We start from the raw sequence: 23,716 nt of genomic DNA, 5'->3' as shown, positions 1-23,716 counted from the left end.
TGGGCGGATCACTTGAGGCCAGGAGTTCGAGACCAGCCTGGCCAACATGGCAAAACTCTGTCTCTACTAAAAACACAAAAATTAGCTGGGTATGGTGGTATGCACCTGTAATCCCAGCTACTCAGGAGGTTGGGGTGGGAGAATTGCTTGAACCTGGGAGGAGGAGGTTGCAGTGAGCTGAGATCGCACCACTGCATTCCAGCCTGGGCGACAGAGCAAGACTCTGTCTCAAAAAAAAAAAAAGAAAAGAATCTTTCATTATTAAACAAATACCCAAGATGAATTAAGGTGGGTGGTGATGCTATGATTGCAAGATACAGGCTTTAATACCAGAGATATGAGAAACTCGGTAGGAGAGAAATAAGCCAATCTCTTATGGTTGGCATTTTCAGAGGAGAAGCAAGCCAACACAAAATGGGTAATGTTTCCTCTTATCACCTTTTCTAGAGGCTCTTGAAATATGAGGGGCAAAGTCCTTCATGGGAACCAGAACAACATGCTCCTTAAATTTTAGCCACCAAAGACTTCCGCTGACAGTCCCTCTCAGAGATGCCTCTGTACCTTTCATTGCTGATTCCCTGGTTCTTTTGCCCAAATGATTCTTCAGTCTCAAACTGCCTCAGATACTGCTCTACTATTTACTCCATGTAAAAGTATGATGAAATCCATTCCAACTCCTTCCTTCTCTTCCTAACTCCAAACTGCAAAGGGCCCAGCCTGCCAAGCTATAACCCAGTATTCAAGGCTAAAGTGTTCAACTCTCATGTCCTATCCCAGCAGTAGAGAAAGCCCAGCAAAATGGCAAAGACATCACTCTAGGCCAGAAAGTGAAAGTTAATTACATTCCAGGTTCATGTCACCCCCCAAAAGATGGAAACCATTTTACCTCCTCTGATGAAGCCAATCCAGGATGGCCATATCCCAGGCCTGTCCCTTTCCTCCAGCCAGTAGCCTGTTGGACACAGCCTCCTTTGCTGCTAGTGTCGATATCTTCTTTATCAACAAGTTTACGATCACTGCAAAAGAAGCAGACACCATCACTTCCTTTTTTTTTTTTTTTGAGACGGAGTTTCACTCTTTTTGCCCAGGCTGGAGTGCAATGGCTCGAACTCAGCTTACTGCAACCTCTGCCTCCTGGGTTCAGGCGATTCTCCTGCCTCAGCCTCCCGATTAGCTGGGATTGCAGGTGCCCGCCACCACACCTGGCTAATTTTTAATTTTTTTTTTTTTCAGTAGAGACAGAGTTTCACTGTGTTGGCCAGGCTGCTCTCAAACTCCTGACCTCAGGTAATCCGCATGCCTTGGCCTCCCAAAGTGCTGGATTACAGGCATGAGCCACCATGCCCAACCTGACACCATCATTTTGATGAAGACCTGCTTATAAGCCTAATATAAAATCTCTGTCCTCTTGATTCATATCTGCCTCTTATTAAGTAAGTATATTTAACAGTACCTCTGAGTGCCTGATAGCTATGTTTTGTTGCTGGGTACACAGACTACTAAGATATGGCCCTGTTCACAAGAAAGGTCTCAAACATTATGTCAAGAGATGCTTATAGAACATTGAAGAGAGCTCAACCATGGATGTAGCAACAGTAGATGTCTGCTATAGAAATACAGTAGAAGGAATCACTTTGGGAGGCTGAGGTGGGCAGATCACCTGAGGTTGGGAGTTCGTGACCAGCCTGACCAACATGGAGAAACCCTGTCTCTACTAAAAATACAAAATTAGCCGGGTGTGGTGGCGCATGCCTGTAATCCTAGCTACTCGGGAGGCTGAGGCAGGAGAATCGCTTGAACCCAGGAGGTGGAGGTTGTGGTTAGCTGATATCGCGCCATTGCACTCCAGCCTGGGCAACAAGAGTGAAACTCTGTTTCAAAAAAAAAAAAGAAATGCAGTAGAAGGAACGAAAACTCTGAAGGGGCATCACCAAAAATGACAGGAATTTCAACAGGAAGATACATCTGAATTGGATCTCGAAATAAGGAGTTTGTGTAAGAGAAAAGGAGGACACAAGCAAGGAGACACAAAAGACAATTTGTCCAAGAGAGTAGTAGTAGAAACTGACAAAGGTAAGGCTGCTTGGTGGCCGGGTGCAGTGACTCACGCCTGTAATCCCAGCACTTTGGGAGGCCAAGGCGGGTGGATCACCTGAGGTCAGGAGTTCGAGACCACCCTGACCAACAGGTGAAACCCCTCTCTACTAAAAATACAAACATTAGCCCATAGTCCCAGCTACTGGGGAGGCTGAGGCAGGAGAATCGCTTGAACCTGGGAGGCGGAGGTTGCAGTGAGCCAAGATCGTGCCATTGCACTCCAGCCTGGGCGACAGAATGAGACTGTCTCAAAACAAAAGGAAAAAAAAAAAAGGCTGCATGGGGTCAGACTGTAAAAAACCTTGAACTTATTAAGCTAAATCATGTCTCTGAACCTCATCCTTCTGGCAAAAGTTGGAGCTCAGGCCTCCCTGTAGGCAAGGTATACGGTTTGTAAAAAGACAAGTTATAAGAGTAGATTTCTCTTTACAAAAGTCATTTTGGTGGCAGGGTAGAGAATGGACTGAAGAACAGTGGGAGCAAAGACTGGGAGTAGGAGTCCAGTGTGGAGGTGGAATAGAATGGGAGATGCTGTGGTTTAAATGTGTCCCTCAAAGTACATATGTTGGAAACATAATCCCCAATGCAACAGTATTGAGAGGTGAAACTTCAGGAAGTGATTAGGTCATGAGAGCTCTGCCCTCACAAATGGATTAATGCTGTTATTGCAGGAGTGGGTTCTCCTGATAAAATGATTAGTCTGGTTTCTTTCTCCCAACCCCCTCTTTTGCCTAAGCTCTCTTGTTCTTTTACTTTCCACCATGAGGTGACACAGCAAGAAGGCCCTCACCAGATGCAGCTCCTCAATCTTGGACCTCCCAGCCTCCAGAAGCATGAGCCAAATAAATTTCTGTTCATTATAAATTACCCAGTCTGTGGTATTCAGTTATGGTATCATAAAACAGACTAAGACAGGGGGCAAGACTTAATTAGGGATTTGGTCACTAATTGGACACAGGGGATAAAGGAGGAGGATGGATCAGACCATGTAGACAGTGATGCTATGATGCTGCTACTCTGAAATAATAATACAGGAGATTTGGACTTGTTAGACTGTGGTGGTGGTTGAGGCCATGGGTACCTTAGAAAGCCCAGGTCAAGAGGGTAGAGCAGCAAGACCAAAGAAGCACTGAGAGAAGAGTCCTAGAGAACACCTGGATTTATCCAGAAAAGGAAGAGGAGCAGAAAAGGTGACTGGAAAGGAGAAGAGCCAGGAGAATGTGGTATAAAGGGTGCTGAGAATAAAGAAGGGTCTCTTTCCGCACCCCACCTAAGCCTTGTCCCAGAAGACTCAAGGCCAAGGTGTCCTTCCTCCTGATGGCTGACTCCTTCACCTAGTCCTAATCCACTGTATTTCAAATTGCAGAGAATGACCCAATGGAATGTCACACTAAATGGTCCCACTGTAACAACTCATAAAAATGAAGAGAGACTAGACTTGAATAAAAATATCAGGGTTCACTGTACCTGGTAAGAAAGTATTTTAGATGAAAACTTTTTCAGTTGTGCACACACACACTTTATTATTGGGCCATGATACAAAAATACTTCTCTTATTGTGGGTTGGATCAAATAAGCTGGAATGCCAGAGCCCCAAAACCTGTCCAGCCTCCTCAAGGGCCTTGCTCTGTCAATTATCTCCCTTTCCTTCTGCTCATGCATCCACTTGTTACCCACTTTTCCTTTTCTTTTCTTTTCTTTTTTTTTTTTGATTTGGAGTCTCGCTCTATTACCCAGGCTAGAGTACAGTGGTGCAATCTTGGCTCACTGCAACCTCCACCTCCCATGTTCAAGCGATTCTCCTGCCCCAGTCTCCCGAGTAGCTGGGATTACAGGTACCCACCACCACGCCTGGCTAATTTTTTTATATTTTTGGTAGAGACAGGGTTTCACCATGTTGGCCAGGCTGGTCTCGAACTCCTGACCTTAAGTGATCCACCTGCCTCAGCCTCCCAAAGTGCTGGGATTACAGGTGTGAGCCACCACACCTGGCCCCATTTTTCCTTTCCTTTTCTTTTTTTTTTTTTTTTTTTTTTGAGACAGAGTCTTGCTCTGTCACCCAGGCTAGAGTGCAGTGGCATGATCTCAGCTCACTGCAACCTCTGCCTCCCAGGTTTGAGCGATTCTTCTGCCCCAGCCTCCTGAGTAGCTGGGATTACAGGCGCCTGCCACAGCGCCCAGCTAATTGTTATATTTTTAGTAGAGAAGGGGTTTCACCATCTTGGCCAGGCTGGTCTCGAACTCCTGACCTTGTGATCCACCCGCCTCGGCCTCCCAAAGTGCTGGGATTACAGGCGTAAGCCACCACGCCTGGCCCCCATTTTTCCTTTTCAAGGACTTTACTGTCCCTTCTCCTCCTAGCTATCCAGAGACCAGAGACCTGAACACCATCAGTGACTTCTCCCTTTCCCCAGGTGATCACAAAGACTGGCAGATCTGACACCTCTCTCTAAGCCACACTCCTTTTCTTTTCTTTTTTTAAATAGAGGCAGGGTCTCCCTTCTCCCTATGTTGCCTAGGCTGGCCTGGAACTCCTAGGCTCAAGAGATCCTCCTTCCTCAGCCTCTCTGTGTTGGGATTATAGGCCACTCTCCTTTCTAGACTCATCACCTTCACTCAGGCAATCATGATCTTTCACTTGAATTACTATAGAATTTGCATAATGCATTAGTCTCTCTACAAACTCATCTTCCACATGATTAGTAATCTCTCCAAAATGCAAAGCTAAGTCAATACCCTGCTTAAAATTATTCCATGACCGTCCACTGCCTTTAAGATAAAGCCTTAGCAAGGTGTTCAAGGTGTTTAAACTTCATGAACTGGCCTGCATCTTTTGGACCAGGCTTATCTACTGTCACTCAACAATATACCTGCAGTGTTCAGGACCATCAAACTATTTGCAACTCCTCAAACACATCATAAGCTCTTATATCCCTGGTATATGAAATTCCCTGAAATGCCCTTCCCTTCCCCACTGATTTCTGTGTCTGCCCTATGAGACGCACCATCACCTAAGTCTTGTCTATTCTGTGTTCAGTCAAGGATAATCTATGTCTTGTCCACCTGAGTATTTCTTGCACTTGACACCTGTAAACAGTGGGTTATCAACAAATTCTATATAACTCTGGGCTTACAACTTGGGAACTAGCTGACTGAAAACAAGTATAGGAAGCTAGATATCATACATCTCCATCAGCAGCCAACCATTTATTTAGCACCTATGTGTGAGAATGGAGGTTCCCTAGAGAAAAAGCCCAAGAGTGTGACATTCTTATCAGGCCCGTAAAGAGGGTGCAGTATTACTGATGAAGACAGAAAGGGTTCCCGATCATGGCTACTCCAGCCCTGGCTTTGGGAAGGCGAAGCTGCCAGCCAACCTTCCATGTACACTCCCCGTATAAAGACAGATAGTAAAAAGGCTGGCATAGACCTCATGTTTTAGCAGTTCAGACAGAATCTACTCATAATATCATCTCCCTGAGACAGAAAACAGCAGTACAGTTGAAGGAGGAGGTGGTTTTATCATTAGGCTTGAGGCCTAGGCTGAATGAAGAGTTCCTGGCTTACCTGTCAGTTTCCCTGGAGTACTTAATCCGTTTCCTTTCTGGAGAGTCAAAAGACTGGAGCTTTTCCCTGCGATCATTTCCTCTTCCTTTAAACTTTCCCTGTTGGTAAGCAGAAGAGCAGACCTGAGATTGCCACCTGAGGGAATTGGGGAGTGGGGAAATTCTACCCCATTGCTGTTATTATTATTATTTTTTTCTTGAGACAGAGTCTCACTCTGTTGCCCAGGCTGGAGTACACTGGCGTGATCTCAGCTCACTGCAACCTCCGCCTCCCAGGTTCAAGCGATTCTCCTGCCTCAGCCTCCCAAGTAGCTGGGACTACAGGTGAGTGCCACAATGCCCAGCTAATTTTTCTATTTTTAGTAGAGACGGGGTTTCACTATGTTAGTCAGGCTAGTCTCGAACTCCTGACCTCATGATCCACCAGCCTCGGCCTCCCAAAGTGCTGGGATTACAGGTGTGAGCCACCGCACCCGGCCTTGTTATTTCTTTTAAAGTGAAAGTAGCTCACTTGGTAACTCCTGGAATCTCTCACTCCTTTACACGTTCTTCTAGAGAAAGCAGTGACTTCCTAACTTAAACATTTGGAAAGAATAAGTTGGCACGCTTGGTTCCGCTGTCTTTTCCCCTTCTGAGAAGCAGGGGAAAGTACACAAGCCCTCCACTATACAAGCCCTCGGGCATATAATATAAAACTTAAGGAGTCCAAAGCAGCTCTTACATGGAGAGGTGGTTCTTTGTAGTAGACAACTCTAAGGAAAGGAAAAATACTACAATCTACTTTCCACTGTCCTATGGCCAGTTCAGTTTGTGAATTCACTATCTCTAACAGTCCTCCATAGGTGGATTCTTTTGTTTGGTTTTGAGACAGGGACTTACTCTGTGACCCAGGCTGGAGTACAGGGCTGTGATCATAGCTCACTGCAGCCTGGAACTCTTGGGCTCAAGCAATTCTCCCACCTCAGCCTCCTAAACTGCTGGGATTACATGCATGTGCCACTGTGCCTGGCTCTCCACAGGTGGCTTCCTTTTTTTTTTTTTTTTTTGAGACAAGGTCTGGCTCTATGACCCAGGCTGGAGCGCAGTGGCACAAACTCAGCTCACTGCAACCTCTGCCTCCCAGCTCATGCGATCCTCCCTCAGCCTCTCAAGTAGCTGGGACTACAGGCACACACCCCATGTCCACCTAATTTTTATATTTTTTGTAGAGATAGGATTTCGCCATGTCGCCCAGGCTGGTTTCAAACTTGTGAGCTCAAGTGATCCGCCCGTCTCAGCCTCCCAAAGTACTGGGATTATAGGCGTGAGCCACCGTGCCTGACCCATAGGTGGGTTCTTAACCATCATGAGAGAGGCCAGTGAAGCCTATGACTGGGTAATTCACCCTAACTGTGTGGTTGAGGTAGCAAGTCCATTTGACTCTGACACTAAGCTACTTCCTCCAGCTTAGCCTTTAATAGTAAAAGATGCTATTTCAGCAGCGCTATTCAACACTTGTTCATTAACTCAACTAATTTAAAAGCTAAGCAGGAAAGAGGAGTGTTATCTACCTAGAGACCCTAACACCACCTTTTAAAAAAGATATCAACTTCATTGAAGTATAAACTTACAAATAATAAAAAGCACCTATTTTGATTGTATTATATAATTTGGCAAATGTATGCACTATCTTTTGAGGCTGCTTTTGTTCTCCATCTTCTTATAAGGAGGGATCAGCACAGCCTATGAAGTCTATATCAGAAAGCAAAAAGAGCTGAGGTCAAGGGAGTAATAGGTCACCAAAGTTTACCTCTCGTTCTCTCCTTTCCAGATAGGCTAGCTCCTGCTCAGACTGTTTTATCTTCCGGTGGATTTCCAGGTTTTGCTGAGAAGAGAGGCAATTCTATGAGTATAGGTCTAAGAAACAATGGTCCTAGAGATGCTTCTAGGCCTTTCCCAATAGTTGCTTTTGGATTGTAGCTCTTTTGATTGATCAGATCTACTAAATGATCACTGTATCCTGCAACCAACAATCCCTAACTGGTCTTGTCATGCAGATTAGTTATGTGGTATGGCATAAGAGGAATATCATTTTACTTATCTCCAAGATGTGGGAAACAAATATCTATCTCTTTATCTAAGTTGAAAATCATGGGACAGAGGATGTGGGCACACCAGTGAAGAAAACCAAATGCCCACATACTCTGCCATACATACCATTCCCAGACATGAGTCACTCTTTCAGCCCCCAGAGAAACATGGAAAGGAGCCCCAGGGTTCCAAGAGACTGCTCTGAGAGTTGCAAATTCCTCACGCATGGCTCTACTACACAAGCCCTCAGACATATGTATGAAACTTAAGGAGTCCAAAGCAGCTCTTACATGAAGTGGTGGTTCTTTGTAGCAGACGACCTTAAGGAAAGGAAAAGTACTACAGTCTACTTTCCACTGTCCTATGACCAGTTCAGTTTGTGAATTCACCAGACCTGTGGCTCCTCTTTCCTGACGATTACTTTTTATCTCTTTAGCCATTTATTAGTATTTACATCAGATGGGTGAAATTTCAATGTGTCAGTCTGACAACTCACAACTTCAGGTCAAAGGACATGGGAGGTAGTCTGTTCCAGGGATTATCAGGAGCTTTTCAGAGTCCTATCTTTGCAAAGCCTCCACAGAGATGGCTGGGAAAAGTAGTGTACCTATTACCAAAAGCAGAACTTCTCAGCTTTTAGCTAAATAAAACTTTGAGCTCTGTATTCAGAGAAAGTCTGAATCTAGTTCCATCACCTGCTCTTGCAACATCTACTAGAGAAGGGGTGTGAAACAAATTGCTCTGAGAATGTGAGTCCATTTAGGGACTTTATTTGTCCATAATTTGGATCCTTGGTCAGTTCATATAAATGGGAATACTACAGGGGAAGACCAATGTATGTCGGTTTAACATCCCAAGTATAGATGTTGTGCTGTGGCTCATAACAATATTCACTACATGAAGAAATGGCAGAATTTGACTCACCTATGGTGAAAACTGCACACTGTCAGAGCTGGATAGAATCAGATGAAGTTACAAGGACCAAAGAAGAAAAGGGGCTTATCTGAGGTCCAACTGTAACGTTAATGACACAGCTAAGATGAGAAACCCAGCAAGTAATGTCCTATTCCACAACCCTTTCTCTTCCTACCCATCCTCCATATTTGGCACCCTAGCCACAGTCATAATGCTTGGCTTCGGCCTATACATGGAAGTTCTTTGAGGGTAGGCATAACCTTAATCCAGAGCAATTCATTCTTGAATTGGACTGTTTTAATGATAGGAACTGGGGCTGATATACACTGAGGAAGGATTGTATAAGCTGCTGCGGCTTTTTTTTTTTTTTTTTTTTTTTTTTGAGATAGAGTCTTGGTCTGTCACCCAGGCTGGAGTGCAGTGGTGTGATCTCGGTTCACTGCAACCTTTGCCTCCCAGGTTCAAGCGATTCTCCTGCCTCAACCTCCCAAGTAGTTGGGATTACAGGCATGCGCCACCACATCCAGGTAATTTTTGTATTTTTAGTAGAGACAGTTTCACCATGTTGGCCAAGCTGGTCTCAAACTCCTGATCTCAAGTGATCTACCTAGGTGCCTTGGCCTCCCAAAGTGCTGGGATTACAGGTGTAAACCACTAGGCCCGGCCTAAATAATCTTTTTTATTCCCCATAATCCCCATCAATAATATGAGTCAACAGTTTTGTTTTGTTTTGTTTTTTAAGAGATGGAGTCTTGCTCTGTTACCCAGGCTGGAGTGCAGTGGCACGATCTCGGCTCACTGCAACCTCTGCCTCCCAGGTTCTAGCAATTCTCCTGCCTCAGCCTCCCGAGTGGCTGGGACTACAGGCACACAACACCACACCTGGCTAATTTTTTGTATTTTAGTACAAAGGGGGTTTCACCATGTTGCCCAGACTGGTCTTGTACTTCTGAGCCCAGGCAATCCACCCGCCTCGGCCTCCCAAAGTGCTAGGATTACAGGCATGAGCCACAAAGCCCGGCCAAGAGTCAACAGTTTGAAAGGGCATAGCTCCTTCCCCTAATACCTTGTGCAGGTCTGACAGCTGCTGGTGTTTGATCAGAACTTCTTTATTGGGAAACTGCCTTCTGCAAAGCAGACAAGCCAGTTTATTCCAGTCAGTGAGTTTGTCTTCTTCATTCTCCTTCTTGGTTTGCTCCTCTCGCTTCTGGGGCTGTGCTGTGCGGGGCTGTGGGGGAGGGGTCTGTTCCTCCTCTTCTTCCTCCTCATAGTCACTGTCTCCTCCATATTCACCCAAGAGGCCGATCAGTGGGTTTACCACTTTAGGCTGGAAGGAGAAGGCCAGGGATCAATACCAAATTCAACCTATATTTTGGGGTCCATTTTTTTTGATATTCTGATATGGGCATCTCATTTCATTGAATTGGGTTCAAAATAAACTCACTAGCCATGCTGCTCATTTCCCAGATGAAAGCAACATGGCCAGAGCTTGGCTTTGCTCCTTGTTCATTAAGAATAAACAAGAAAGATTCCTTTAGAAGTGACTCTAGCAACAGAATGTGAGGAGAAGGAAGAGAAAGGAAAATAAACATAGAAAATAGTAAAAGGTTACAAATTACAAAGAGGAAGAGATAAATACCTCCAAATTACTGTAACTCATGGAGGGAAGAAAAGATGACTTTCATTAAGACTCTAGCAAAGAGGATTTAGGAAGTAAACTAAAAGCAACTGCATTAATAGGCACTTGGGTAGACAGATCCAGCTCACATGTAAGGTAAAGGCAAAGCATGGTTAAGACAGATGCCACAATGAGCTGAATTAATAATGCGGAGCAGGAAAAGGGTACCTTATAAGAACTGTTAAATAATGATGCATAATCATTGGTCTATGATCACTCAAAATAAATAAATAATGCATGGTCACTATTGTTATATACCTGCATTCAATCAGAATCACTGGTGATTAGGTTGAGACTACTGCTTGAAGGCATCTAAAAAATGGGCACCAATATTAGCATCATTCACTCTGAACAGGCAGAAACTATAAAAAAATGACCACGCATGCACTCCATATCTAAGAGATTCTTGTGTGATGCCAAAAGGCAGGAAAGATTGAGGCTGAGAAAACGGGTTTCCTTGGTGATTTAGAGAACTGACAAGAACAAGATGATAAAAAGGGCTAGGCATCTCGTCTGGTAAGAATGGCACAGGGCAGAGAGAAAGAGTCCAGATAACTGCCTCTGGTTCTCCAGTAATACCCCCATTAGCAGACAGAAAACTTTATCTCATGCTTGTACTCAAAAGAAATGGGAATCCTTATTCGGGAGACATAGTGAGGTAAAAGACCAACACCAGAGGAAGGCATCAGCCTTTGCGCTTCCTCTTCTACTCGGAACCATCCCCAGCCCCAGCCCTAGGTCCAGGGGATCAATGTTGGTCTTACTGGAGGGGGACTCTCTTCCTTCTTCACAGTAGGAGGCAGGGGCTTCTTAAAGACGTCTTCTGCAGGGGCCTTCCCTTCACTGGCATTTTCCTGAAACTGATCAAACCAGAGGTAACTCTCACATGATATTCACTCATAATAACTGATAAAGGCTGGGCTGGGTGCGGTGGCTCACGCCTATAATCCCAGCACTCTGGGAGGTCAAGGCAGGTGGATCACAACGTCAGGAGATCGAGACCACCCTGGCTAATGCAGTGAAACTCCATCTCTACTAAAAATACAAAAAATTAGCTGGGCGTGGTGGCGGGCACCTGTAGTCCCAGTTAGTAGGGAGGCTGAGGCAGGAGAATGAACCCGAGAGGCGGAGCTTGCAGTGAGCCAAGATTGTGCCACTGTGCTCCAGCCTGGCCAACATGGTGAAACCCCGTCTCTAGTAAAAATACAAAAATTAGCTGGGTGTGGTGGTTTTGGCCTGTAATCCCAGCTACTTGGGAGGCTGAGGTAGAAGAACTGCTGGAACCTGGGAGGCAGAGGTTGCAGTGAGCCGAGATCGTGCCACTCCATTCCAGCCTGGGTGACAGAGAGAGACTCTGTCTCAAAAAATAAAATAAAATAAAATAAAACGTTAGTATATATTGCATGATTACTGTATGTCAGACCAGATGAGGCATGTATATATAAACATTGTCTTCTTCAGACTTTACTATGATCCTCCTATGTAAGCTTTACTATCTTAATTTTACAAATGATTGGGAATATAGTTTGACAGATTAAGTGGCTGAAGCAGAGTCCAAATATTAAATCAGTATGACTCTAAGTTTTTAAACACACACACACACTCTCTCTCCTCTTTTCTGTATCTCTAAACAACTAACAGTGTTAGAAGGGGAAAAAAAGGCTGGGCGCAGTGGCTCATGCCTGTAATCCCAGCACTTTGGTAGGCTGAGGTGGGCGGATCACAAGGTCAGGAGTTCGAGACCAGCTTGACCAACATGGTGAAACCGCGTCTCTACTAAAAATACAAAAATTAGCTGGGCGTTGTGGCAGCGCCTGATATCCCAGCTACTCAGGAGGCTGAGGCAGGAGAATCCCTTGAGCCTGGAAGGCGGAGGTTGCAGTGAGCCGAGATAGATCACGCCACTGCACTCCAGCCTGGGCGACAGAGCGGCTCCGTCTCAAAAGAAAAAAAAGGGAAAAAAAGGTGTTATGAATTGAATCACAAGCAAATTCATCCATTTTCACTAATGCATAACTGATATCAAGGTAGGTGTGATCTTGGCTCACTGCAACCTCTGCCTCTCAGGTTCAAGAGATTCTCCTGCCTCAGCCTCCTGAGTAGCTGGGACTACAGGCTTGCGCCACCACGTCCAGCTAATTTTTGTCTTTTTAGTAGAGATGGGGGTTTCACCATATTGGCTAGGCGGTCTCAAACTCCTGACCTAAAGTAATCCGCCTGCCTTGGCCTCTCAAAGTGCTGGGATTACAGGCATGAGCCACCATGCCCGGCAGATTTTCTTTTTTTTTTTTTTTTGAGACAAGTCTGGCTCTGTTGTCCATGCTGGAGTGCAGTGGCGCAATCACAGCTCACTGCAATCTCCTGGGCTCAAGCGATCCTCTTAACTCAGTCTCCCAAGTAGCTTGGACTACAGGCATGCATCACCACAGTAGGCTAATTTTTTTTGTATTTTTGGTAGAGATGGAGTTTCACCATGTTGCTGGTGTCAAACTCCTAAACTCAGGCATCCACCTGTCTTGGCCTCCCAACGTGCTGGGATTACAGGTGTGAGCCACTGCACCCTGCCTAATAATTTGATTTTGTATTAGATGTAAAAATGTTCATCATCTCTGATTCTGAAAATGTGTCATAGGGAGTAATTTAAAAGAAGAAACAAAATGCTAAATGTTATATATTATGACAGTATAAGATTAGAAAGAGGCGAGCAAGGTGGGTCTTGCCTGTAACTGAAGCACTTTGGGAGACTGAGACAGGAAGCTTACTTGAGGCCAGAAGTTCGAGATCAGCCTGGTCAATCTAGCAAGATCCTGTCTCTACAAAAAAGCAAAAATTAGCTGGTCATGGTGGCTCATGCCTGTAGTCCCCGCTACTTGGGAGGCTGAGGTGGGAGGACTGCTTAAGCCCATGGGTTTGACGTAGAAGTGAGCTATGATCATGCCACTGCACTCCAACCTGGGAGACAGAGGAAGACTTTGTCTCAGAAAAAAAAAAAAAAAAAGGAAAAAGAAAAGATTAGAAAGAGAAGACAAATAATGTAGGAGAGATGAAGAAAATGAAGGTACAGTTATACCGTGAATTTTTACCATGTGGGCATTAAAAATAATAGAGTATATAGAAACATGGAAAAAATACTTAGGATAAAAAGTGACTAAACAGTATCTCCTGCTATAATTACAACTAGAGAAATGTGTATAAAGTCAAACACTAAAAAAGGAATGTAGAAAAGTGAAAATGTATGGAGCTGAGGTGTTGGGATTTGAGCTGGGCCACTTTGTTCTACCATCCATAGTTTTCCCATTTGTAAAAGAGAGAGTTGGGATATAAGAGGTGAGGGAATTGCCTACACCAGGTAAAAATACTCATTAACAGAGGTTTTTTTTTTTTTTTTGATACAGAGTCTTGCTCTGTTGCCAGGCTGGAGTGTAGTGGCGCGATCTCGGCTCACTGCAACCTCTGCCTCCAGGGTTCAAGCAATTCTCCTGCCTCAGCCTCCTGAGTAGCTGGGACTACAGGCGTGTACCACCACACGCAGCTAATTTTTGTATTTTTAGTAGAGACAGGGGTTTCACCATGTTGGCCAGGATGGTCTCGATCTCCTGACCTCATGATCCGCCCGCCTTGGCCTCCCAAAGTGCTGGGATTACAGGCGTTAGCCACCACGCCCGGCTGACAGAGTATTTTTAAAGTTACTTTACACTTGCAAACATAGATATCCTCTGTTCGTACCTCCAACATTTTAATAACTATGTGGCAAAAGACAGCAAATTAACAATTCCTCTTACCCTCGTCACTCCTCTGTCTTTTTTCTCCTTGCCATCTCTTTTAGACATTTCCTTCTTGCTACTTGACTTTCCTTGACTGGTGGGTTTTTTTTCCTTGATCTCTTCTTCCTCAGGTAATCCAGGATCCTGGGGCACATAGACTTCTTGCTGCGATACAGTTGGAAACAAGTAAGTCTACAGAATGTTTCAGTTTCCCAGCAATTCCAGGTCTAAGGCGCACAGTTCCCTTTTAGGGGAAGAAACAACTTTTTTACTTACAAGTCTAAGAAGAGTCCACATCAATCTAAAAACCCACTCCAGGGACCAGGACACATTCAGACCACCCACTGTCCACTTTTTCAAGAGCAACACTGTTCTTACCTGTATTGCCACAAGGCACTGATTTTCCATATAGGCAACAGTTCTGTTTCCATAGATCTAAACTTTTCCACTTTTCATGCAATGAGCATCCAGAGAATCCAGGGAATAAAATCCTCAAGTAGCAAATTATGGGTGCTTTTCTCAAAAGAATCATTGACAGAGGTAAAAAAAAAAAAAAAAAAAAAAAAGCCCCAAACTCACCTGGGTATTGGGGTCATAATAAGTTCCTGCCAAGGGGTCATAATAGTAGCCAGTAGCAGAATCATATATGTAGCAGTCAGATGATGCTAAAGGTAACAAGATCAGAGCCAATGTTAGTCTCTGTCCAATGAAGCCCTTACTGGAGACTCATCAAGAACCCAAGAATTAGGGTGACCAACACAAATAGGTGCATCTACAGATGCCTCTCTCTGGATGAGCACCCTCAGTCAACAGTGTATCTTGCCAACTGTGATCACACAGATGTCAAGTAATGAGTAGCAAGTCAAGCAAAAAAGAGCAACAGAAATAAAACAAAGGTTACTTACACTGTTGTCCTTGTCGATTTGTATCTGAAGACCAGTCTGAATTTCTGCCACCTCCCCTCCTATCTCGGAAATATTTTTTACCCTATCACAGAAAGGCAAGTTAAAATTACAGAACTATCCAATGGTCATTCACCTTAACAGTCACCCACTAAAGAAAATTCAAGATCACCCTTATAGTCACCTGAGGATTTTAATAGAGCACTCCCCACCTGTTACAGCCTACCTGATAGTAATGCATGTGGTCAGAATGGTCCCCAGAATCATTTCTGCAACAGATAACACAACAATTCTTAAGGCTGCTACCAAGTGGCATTTGACGAGTACTTAATCCTACAGTTCCTATCGAGAAATCCTCTGTTCCTCATTTTGCAGGGAAAGGAACCAACCTAGACAGCAAGCAGGTTGGGTGGTCCAGACACTCCTGAAAGAATGAGCAGTAAGACTCTTTTTTTTTTTTTTTTTTTTTTTGAGACGGAGTCTTGCTCTGTCGCCCAGGCTGGAGTGCGGTGGCGTGATCTCAGCTCACTGCAAGCTCCGCCTCCTGGGTTCACACCATTCTCCTGCCTCAGCCTCCCAAGTAGCTGGGACTACAGGTGCCCACCACCACGCCCAGCTAATTTTTTTTTTTTTGTATTTTTAGTAGAGACGGGGTTTTACCGTGTTAGCCAGGATGATCTCAATCTCCTGACCTCATGATCTGCCCGCCTCGGCCTCCCCAGGTGCTGAGATTACAGGCGTGAGCCACCACGCCTGCCCAATGAGCAGTAAGACTCTTACAAAGCCAAGTGGTGGAGCAAAACAGCCATTAAGTGGAGGGTGCTAGAGCAAGATATGCCCCATATTGGTAAGCCTGTTTCTCTGACATGGCCATTTCCAAGTTACCACTCCTGGGTCAAGATGAGTGAAGGAGGAAAGAGAAATTAGATTTCCCAGTGCTATGGAAATATGCACAAGGTCAGGGGAAGGAAAAGCCAGGACAGCATTTTCCTAGGATTGCAAGGGGCAAGAATGTATTGACATGTGTCTGCACATCCAAAACTGTACCATCATTTTTTTGTTAAGAGATAGGGTCTTGCTGTGTTGCCCAGGGTAGAGTACAGTGGTTATTCACAGGCATCTTCATTGCACACTATGGCCTAGAACTCCTGGGCTCATGTAACCCGCTCCCCATCTCGCCTCAGCCTCTTTAGTAGCTTGGAATAGAGATATGTGCTACCACGCCAGGCCATTTGGGACCCAAAGATACCAGACAGTCAAAAGGGAAAGGACAAAAGTACCTAGTATTATTCAAGAAAGAAAACAATTCGAGAGTCAGGACAAGTCAGGCTTCAGAAAGAAACTGTAATAAACACCTATCTGAAGCAGTCCATGTTAGGAAAACATCATGCTTTACTGTTTTTCCAGCCAGGAAAAGGAGTTTCCTCTCAAAAACACAAGTGGGGGCAGCACAAGAGATCCTCACCCTTCTGCCTTACCTTCGTTTTCCAGTGGCCAGGTTTACAGCTACCATCTTCCCATCAATGCTAAATGGCGGATCAAGGTTCTGTAAGATCTTCACCACACGAAGAGCTTCCTATAGAACCAGACACACTTGAACCCAGAGACAGAAAATGCCAGAACCCAAAGACAGAAAAATTCTCCTTTGAAAGAGAAGTGAACGTGGATTTTCCTTCTCAGAGGATAAATTTACTACATTATATTCTGTCAAAATTTTAACAGTAAGAGCATACTGGCAGAAACAGGCAACTTTTAATGAAGGACTGATTGGAACAGGAATCAGAATAGATGTCAGTTCTGGCATAAACTTCAGAAATTCAAATCCTCTTCTTTTAGGTTGCAATTATCATCAATCAGATTCAGTTTACAAAGTCCCTTGTGACTTTTGAGCATGAAAAATCTAAGAAATACCAATGACTTTCATTATCTTCACCTTACTTCCATAGAAAAAGGCCCCGCAACTAAAAATTTAAGCCACAGGAATCTATAAATACTTTGAGGAAAAAGAGGAAATGTTTTATCATCAAATATAAAACCATCTGTGGCTGGACAAAATAAATCAGAAAGTTCACTAAAATCATGAAGGATTCAGTACTCAGATTCTTCACAAGCGAGTAAGTTGGAAACAGTAAATGACACAAGAAAAAAATGAACCTAGAAAACCAGACGGGATCCTAACTTTTGAGGGCTGTCACCTGACCTGAATGAACAATAAACCCAAAGGAGAGAGCAAGAGGGATTATGATATCAGGTAGCACACAAGAATTCAAATGATCAAGAAGTCCCTCAAATTTTTTTTTTTTTTTTTTGAGACAGAGTCTCGCTCTGTCACCCAGGCTGAAGTGCAGTGGCGCGATCTCGGCTCACTGCAAGCTCCGCCTCCGGAGTTCACGCCATTCTCCTGCCTCAGCCTCCCGAGTAGCTGCGACTACAGGCGCCTGCCACCACGCCCAGCTAATTTTTCTGTATTTTTTAGTAGAGACAGGGTTTCACCGTGTTAGCCAGGATGGTCTTGATTTCCTGACCTCGTGATCCACCCACCTCGGCCTCCCAAAGTGCTGGGATTACAGGCGTAAGCCACCAGGCCCGGCCCCCAGTCAAACCTTCTTGAAGGTTCTTTAGCCATCTGTCTCTAGGCCAATCCAAGGTGGAGGAAACTCACCGCATGGGAGTCGAGGTCAATAAAGCCATAGGTATGCCCCATAGGGCCTGTTCTGTTCTTGATGATACGGACGTTGGCAGTAGTAAGGCGGACATAGGGCTCCAGCACTTCCACTATCACCTCAGGTGGTGTGGAACGATAGATACGCTTTAGCATGATAGCTGAATCAACCATAAATGGGAGAAGGGCAACACAAGGGAGAGAAAGATAAATTTTTGAAGTCCCAAGAATCTGACTGTCATTTTTTACTATAGATGCTACTAGCAAGGCTGGTTCTGTAAAAAAATGCTAAACAAATAAATACTGCATACTTTTCTTCACCAATACTTAGAAATCTAAAATCATGCCTTACTGCATTCATATAGCAATTTACTATTTGAAGGGCATAGATTCCTTTAAGCAGTACAGGAAGGTCCACAGACAGCAATGGCCTCTGTCATCAGGTCATGCACAGATCTCTCAGGGTACTGGAAAGCAGATAGCTCCCGGACATAACATTGGCCATCTATGCTCCATTGTGATGATCACAGTCTGGTATGTGCCCTGACAAACTACTTACTTTTGCTCTCTCCATCCTGGCGTGTCTCTCCAGACCATGACTCCCTCTCTCGGTCTCTTCGGAAAGTTGGCCCTTCCCTTCGAGAAGGAGGCAGATACCTTTCTGCTTCTCTCTTTTGATGTCCTAAGCGTGACTCTTGGCCTTCTTCCCTCTTCCTGGGTTCAGGTTCCTTATCAGCTGGTCTTAGGGGCTGGTTGGGCTGTTTTTCCAATGGTGCTGGTATGGATGTTTTCTGAGGCTGAGGGTAGGTTATTAATTCTTGCTTGGCCTCTGTCACTAGTGGAACAGAAACAAAGAGAATCTCTAGAAAGCTTTATCAAAAAAAAAAAAAAAGAAAAAACACTGCTACTGTAATTTCTCCTTACCTGCCAGCAAATACTCATACTGGAATGCCTTTTTTTTTTTTTTTTTTTTTTGAGACGGAGTTTTGCTCTTGTTGCCCAGCTGAAGTGCAATGGCATGATCTTGGCTCACTGCAACCTCTGCCTCCCGGGTTCAAGCGATTCTCCTGCCTCAGCCTTCAGAGTAGCTGGGATCACAGGTGCCCACCACCACGCCCAGGTAATTTTTTGTATTTTTAGTAGAAACGAGGTTTCACCATGTTGGCCAGGCTGGTCTCGAACTCCTGACCTCAGGTGATCCACTTGCCTCGGCCTCCCAGAGTGCTGGGATTACAGGTGTGAGCAAACACGCCCGGCCTGGAATGCTTTTAATATTATCTCAGAAATATCTAATAAAAAGTCCTCTGACAGTTCCTGACAAAATATTTTAAGTGAAGCTGAGACAGGACATGAAATAGTTCACAGAAGAAACTATCCAAGCATTTAAAAAATGTAATCTTATGAAATCTCTATATCACCTACTAAACATTTAAATATAACAAATCCTTCATGACACCTTGAACCTGACTATCATAATCAATGATAACAACACATCTGGGGACAAAATTACCGAAGATATGGCCCTTACTTAAGGTTTAGTAGAAACACATATCCCAAACACACATCTAGAAGCCTTGCTTCTTCCAGTGTTACAGTGCTCAAACAGCTACTCATATCCTGTAAGACCACAGGCCCTCCTCCAGTGAAGCTAGGAACAGACCCTATCTGCACGTAGCTCCTTTATATGCAAATAAACATAATGGGCAGACGTCCTTCAAAATATAAATGATTTATTTCAAATGTCCTACTACAGCAGGATAATTTGTCTTTATAGTTTGTTTTATAATTAGGGGCACATTCTTGTAACTAATTCATTCTTGGAGGGTTCACTGGAATCCATGTGGCTCAAAAAGAGGTATTATATGAGAGCAATATAGAGATTACATAATAGCAGTGACAGGTTTCCAGATTAAAGCTGTCTCATCTTAGTGGTATGGTGCCCAGTGGTTTTCATACACTATCTATTCATGGCCGGGAGCGGTGGCTCACGCCTGTAATCCCAGCACATTGGGAGACTGAGGCGGGCAGATCACGAGGTCAGGAGATCGAGACCATCCTGGCTAACACAGTGAAACCCTGTCTCTACTGAAAATACAAAAAATTAGCTGGGCACGGTGGCGGGTGCCTGTAATCCCAGCTACTTGGGAGGCTGAGGCAGGAGAATGGCGTGAACCTGGGAGGCAGAGCTTGCAGTGAGCCGAGATTGCGCCACTGCACTTCAGCCTGGGTGACAGAGCAAGACTCCGTCTCAAAAAAAAAAAGAAAAAAAACAAAAAACTATCTATTCATTTGCTGGAATAGCTTTGAAAAAAAGTGTTTCTTGTGGGGGGAAAAAAACACAACTTTGCCTAACCTGAAGTGACCTAACAAGCAAAAATCTCAGTTGTTCATCCTCCTTCCCACATTTTGGTTTGGTTTCTAGAACATACACAGCCTTCCCCTAAAGATTTTCAGAACACCTGCCTTTCAGTCTTCACCAGAGTAAAATCTCCACAAGAGGACAAAAGCCCACCTAAGAAACTCCTTGTAGGCACATTAAACTCTAACCTTGCAACAAACAGAAGGCTACCTGAATCCCTGCACTGAACTATATTTTATGGTCATGCTGTGGCTTTCCTTAAGGGATGACTACAGGACTGTTGTTATGGATGCATGTGTCTGACTCTTCGAAGTTGCCTACCTGAAATTTCTCTAAAGAAATTTACATTAAAGATAAGTGCTTGAGAAGCTGGTAGTTTTATTCCTCTAAAATAATAAAATGTTCCCCACATCCTGATTATTTTCTCCTATTTATGTTTTTACTGTTATTTTAACAAATGTTTTTCTCTTGAAAATCCTGAAATGCTTACAGAATGTAAAAGAGAAAACAATAGAGCAAATGATTCCCAATAACTTCAAAGAAGTAGGAGTGGGAGAAAGGTTTGCCACACAGACTGATGTCATAAAGACTCTTTTTCAACCTAACATCCTTAATCCTTAAATGTATTCCAAATAACAATATACTGACCTCTGCTCAGCTGCCCACTTAGCCACTTTAGCCTAGGAGCCCACAACCCTATCTCTTTCCTCTGGTGAAAATAAGATCTGAAATCATTTACTAACAGGTTACGTTAAGTTGGGCACCAAACTGCAATTTTTTTTTTCTCACTCTGTTGCCTAGGCTGGAGTGCAGTGGCGAGATCTCAGCTCACTGCAACCTCTGACTCCTGGGTTCAAGCGATTCTAGTGTCTCAGCCTCCCAAGGAGCTGGGATTCCAAGCATGTGCCACCACACCTGTGGCTAATTTTTGTAATTTTAGTAGAGACAGGGTTTCGGCATGTTGGTCAGGCTGGTCTTGAACTCCTGACCACAGGTGATCCACCTGCCTTGGCCTCCCAAAGTGCTGGGATTACAAGCGTTAGCCACCATGCCTAGCTCAAATTGCACTTTTGAAAGGTTTGGGCCGGTCGTGGTGGTTCACGCCTGTAATCGCAGCACTTTGGGAGGCTGAGGCAGACAGATCACGAGGTCAGGAGATCGAGACCATCCTGGCTAACACGGTGAAACTCCGTCTCTACTAAAATACAAATAATTAGCTGGGCATGGTGGTGGGCGCCTATAGTCCCAGCTACTAGAGAGGCTGAGGCAGGAGAACAGCGTGAACCTGGGAGGCGGAGCTTGCAGTGATCCGAGATTGCGCCACTGCACTCCAGCCTGGGTGAGTACGAGACTCTGTCTCAAAAATAAATAAATAAATAAAGGTTTGCAGGCCTTGTGCAGTGATTCACACCTGTAATCCCAGCACTATGGGAGGCCAAGGTGGGTCGGGTCACAAGGTCAGGAGTTCAAGGCCAGCCTGACCAACATGGTGAAACCCCGTCTCTACTAAAAATACAAAAAAATTAGCCGGGCTACAGGGCGTGGTGGCACATGCCTGGAATCCCAGCTAATCAGGAGGCTAGGGCAGGGGAATCGCTTGAACCTGGGAGCTGGAGGTTGCAGTGAGCCAAGATGGTGCCACTGCACTCCAGCCTGGGCAACACAGCGAGACTCCATCTCAAAAAAAAAAAAAAAGGTTTGTAGATCAACTTGGATTTAGGGATGATAATTCTTCAAAGCCAAGGAAAACATGAAATTTGTTTTGCTCAATGCACGAGATAAAAACTGCTACCACTTTCGCCACTCACCTTCTCTTGGGTTCTTGCAGAATGAACAGGAAGATCGGTGCCCACCAATGTTTGCCTTACACTGTAAGGAAGAAGGAAATCAATTTGACTGAAAACATTTTTAAAAATCTTATGTATATCTAACAAAGTGAAACCCCCCAAAAATGAAAGAAACAAGCCATATCCCAGATCCCCTCAAAGCTTAAAAAAAGAATCTGATATTCCCCACTGATTAGAGCTGGCAGATGGGATCTGATGAGCTACTGTTTGAGAGCTACCTTATAACAAGGCATCTGGGACTTTGGTGCAGCCCAAATGCCTTTGCCCTGGATAAAGATTCCTATAGGAAATATGCCTAGAAAACTACTGTTACATGGTTTATAGAATATTATTGTCCCAAAGCCATTTACAGTCTGCACCCAAAACTTGGGCCTGAACTGACTATGAGATCCCCATTCACATTTGGCTAGAACTGAGAATTCAGTTATCAACTCCTTTCTCAAACACTGATAATGAGGTACAAGGTAGGAGGAAGAGATACAGATAGTGTCTCTGGCAGCTATCTAAAAGACATTGAAAGGGAACATTCACTAGCCCAGAATAAGGTAAGAGACATTTTTAATGTGAATGTAATTATTTTTGTCTGAACATGTGAACAAAAAGTCAAGCACACTGCCCAACCCCGAAATCCCTGAACTTTTGCCACTGAGCTTCCAAATGCCATGGGGGCAGAAACTTGGTTGGCAGGAAATAAAAGAGTAAGAACTATAAAGAGGATGGTATTTGAGGAGGGCCTTATAGGGCGAGTAAAGGTCTGCCAGATGGAGTTGAGGAGAAAACAATAACAATAGTAGCAGTGGCTAATTCTTTTTTTTTTTTTCTTTTGAGACGGAGTTTCACTCTTGTTGCCCAGGCTGGAGTGCAACGGCATGATCTCGGCTTACCACAACCTCCACCTCCCGGGTTCAAGCGATTCTCCTGCCTCAGCCTCCCGAGTAGCCGGGATTACAGGCATGTGCCACTACACCTGGCTAATTTTGTATTTTTAGTAGAGGCAGGGTTTCTCCATGTTGGTCAGGCTGGTCTCGAACTCCCGACCTCAGGTGATCTGCCCGCCTCGGCCTCCCAAATTGCTGGGATTATAGGTGTGAGTCACTGCGCCCAGCCGGCTAATTCTTAAATAGTACATACCATGTATTTGGCCTACTGTATATGTCATCACTTATTGATCCTGACAACCCCAATAAACTTCATGAAATGGGTACTCTTATCTCCTCATTTTGTAGATGAGGAAACTGAGGCCTAGAGAGGTTAACTCACTTGAGGAAGATCACTACAGTCAGTTATTTCATTGTTCCCTTCCCTATAAACAGATTATAAACACACACACACACACACACACACACACACACACACACACACACACACACCCCTGCCCACTGCCAAATGGCTGTTATGCCTTCCCACAGGGTGAGTATACTTCCTCTCTCCATTGTCAGCCTTGGCCATGTGCCTTCCTTGCTTTCACCAATAAAACATGAGTGAACATGACCTACACTAGGTCTAAGAGAAGCCTTAGGAGCCACTGCTTGCGTGAATGAACCTCTCTCTCCCTTAGCCAGAGGGACACTGCCCCATATTGAGACTGTTTCTTCCGCCTGGGTCCTGGGATGAGAAGCCACGTGGAACAGAACTGTAGCAAACAACCCATAGTCCCTGACATGTAATGTGAGTGAAGAATATGCTTGCTGTTTTAAGCTACTGGGATTGGAGAGTTGTTACTACAGGAGAGCTGCTGTGGTAACTGGTGCTATTTGTAAACATATAGATCAACAGAATAAAACTGAGAATCTAGGAATAAACCTATAGATTATGGTCAACTGATTTCTAACAATGGGGAAAGTGCCAATGGGGAA

The 23,716-nt window shown here is 44.4% G+C and overlaps 1 protein-coding gene across 18 annotated transcripts in view; it reads right to left on the bottom strand.

Annotated features, from left to right (window-relative positions):
* The window catches only part of RBM6 (RNA binding motif protein 6), a 137,100-nt gene that overhangs the window by 1,033 nt on the left and 112,351 nt on the right, over window positions 1-23,716 (bottom strand). For 14 of the 18 annotated variants that reach the window (NR_146071.2, XM_047447131.1, NM_001349192.2 and 11 more), the window contains 13 exons: window positions 21,822-21,882; window positions 18,214-18,489; window positions 17,655-17,815; window positions 16,471-16,568; window positions 15,219-15,261; window positions 14,996-15,077; window positions 14,670-14,755; window positions 14,109-14,255; window positions 11,091-11,186; window positions 9,715-9,975; window positions 7,453-7,527; window positions 5,665-5,762; window positions 887-1,016 (listed from right to left, as the gene is read on the bottom strand). Coding sequence is in view for 17 of the 18 variants with exons in the window: in XM_047447131.1 (XP_047303087.1) it covers window positions 887-1,016; window positions 5,665-5,762; window positions 7,453-7,527; window positions 9,715-9,975; window positions 11,091-11,186; window positions 14,109-14,255; window positions 14,670-14,755; window positions 14,996-15,077; window positions 15,219-15,261; window positions 16,471-16,568; window positions 17,655-17,815; window positions 18,214-18,489; window positions 21,822-21,882 (1,614 nt within the window). In the remaining variant the exon portion in view is untranslated. The other 4 variants (XM_047447137.1, XM_047447136.1, XM_047447132.1 and 1 more) reach the window with 3 other exon arrangements.

This window comes from Homo sapiens, chromosome 3 (genome assembly GCF_000001405.40).
Source record: "Homo sapiens chromosome 3, GRCh38.p14 Primary Assembly".
NCBI lineage: Eukaryota > Metazoa > Chordata > Mammalia > Primates > Hominidae > Homo > Homo sapiens.
The sequence above is the reverse complement of the archived record's forward strand: the minus strand, read 5'-3'. Positions and strand labels throughout refer to the sequence as shown.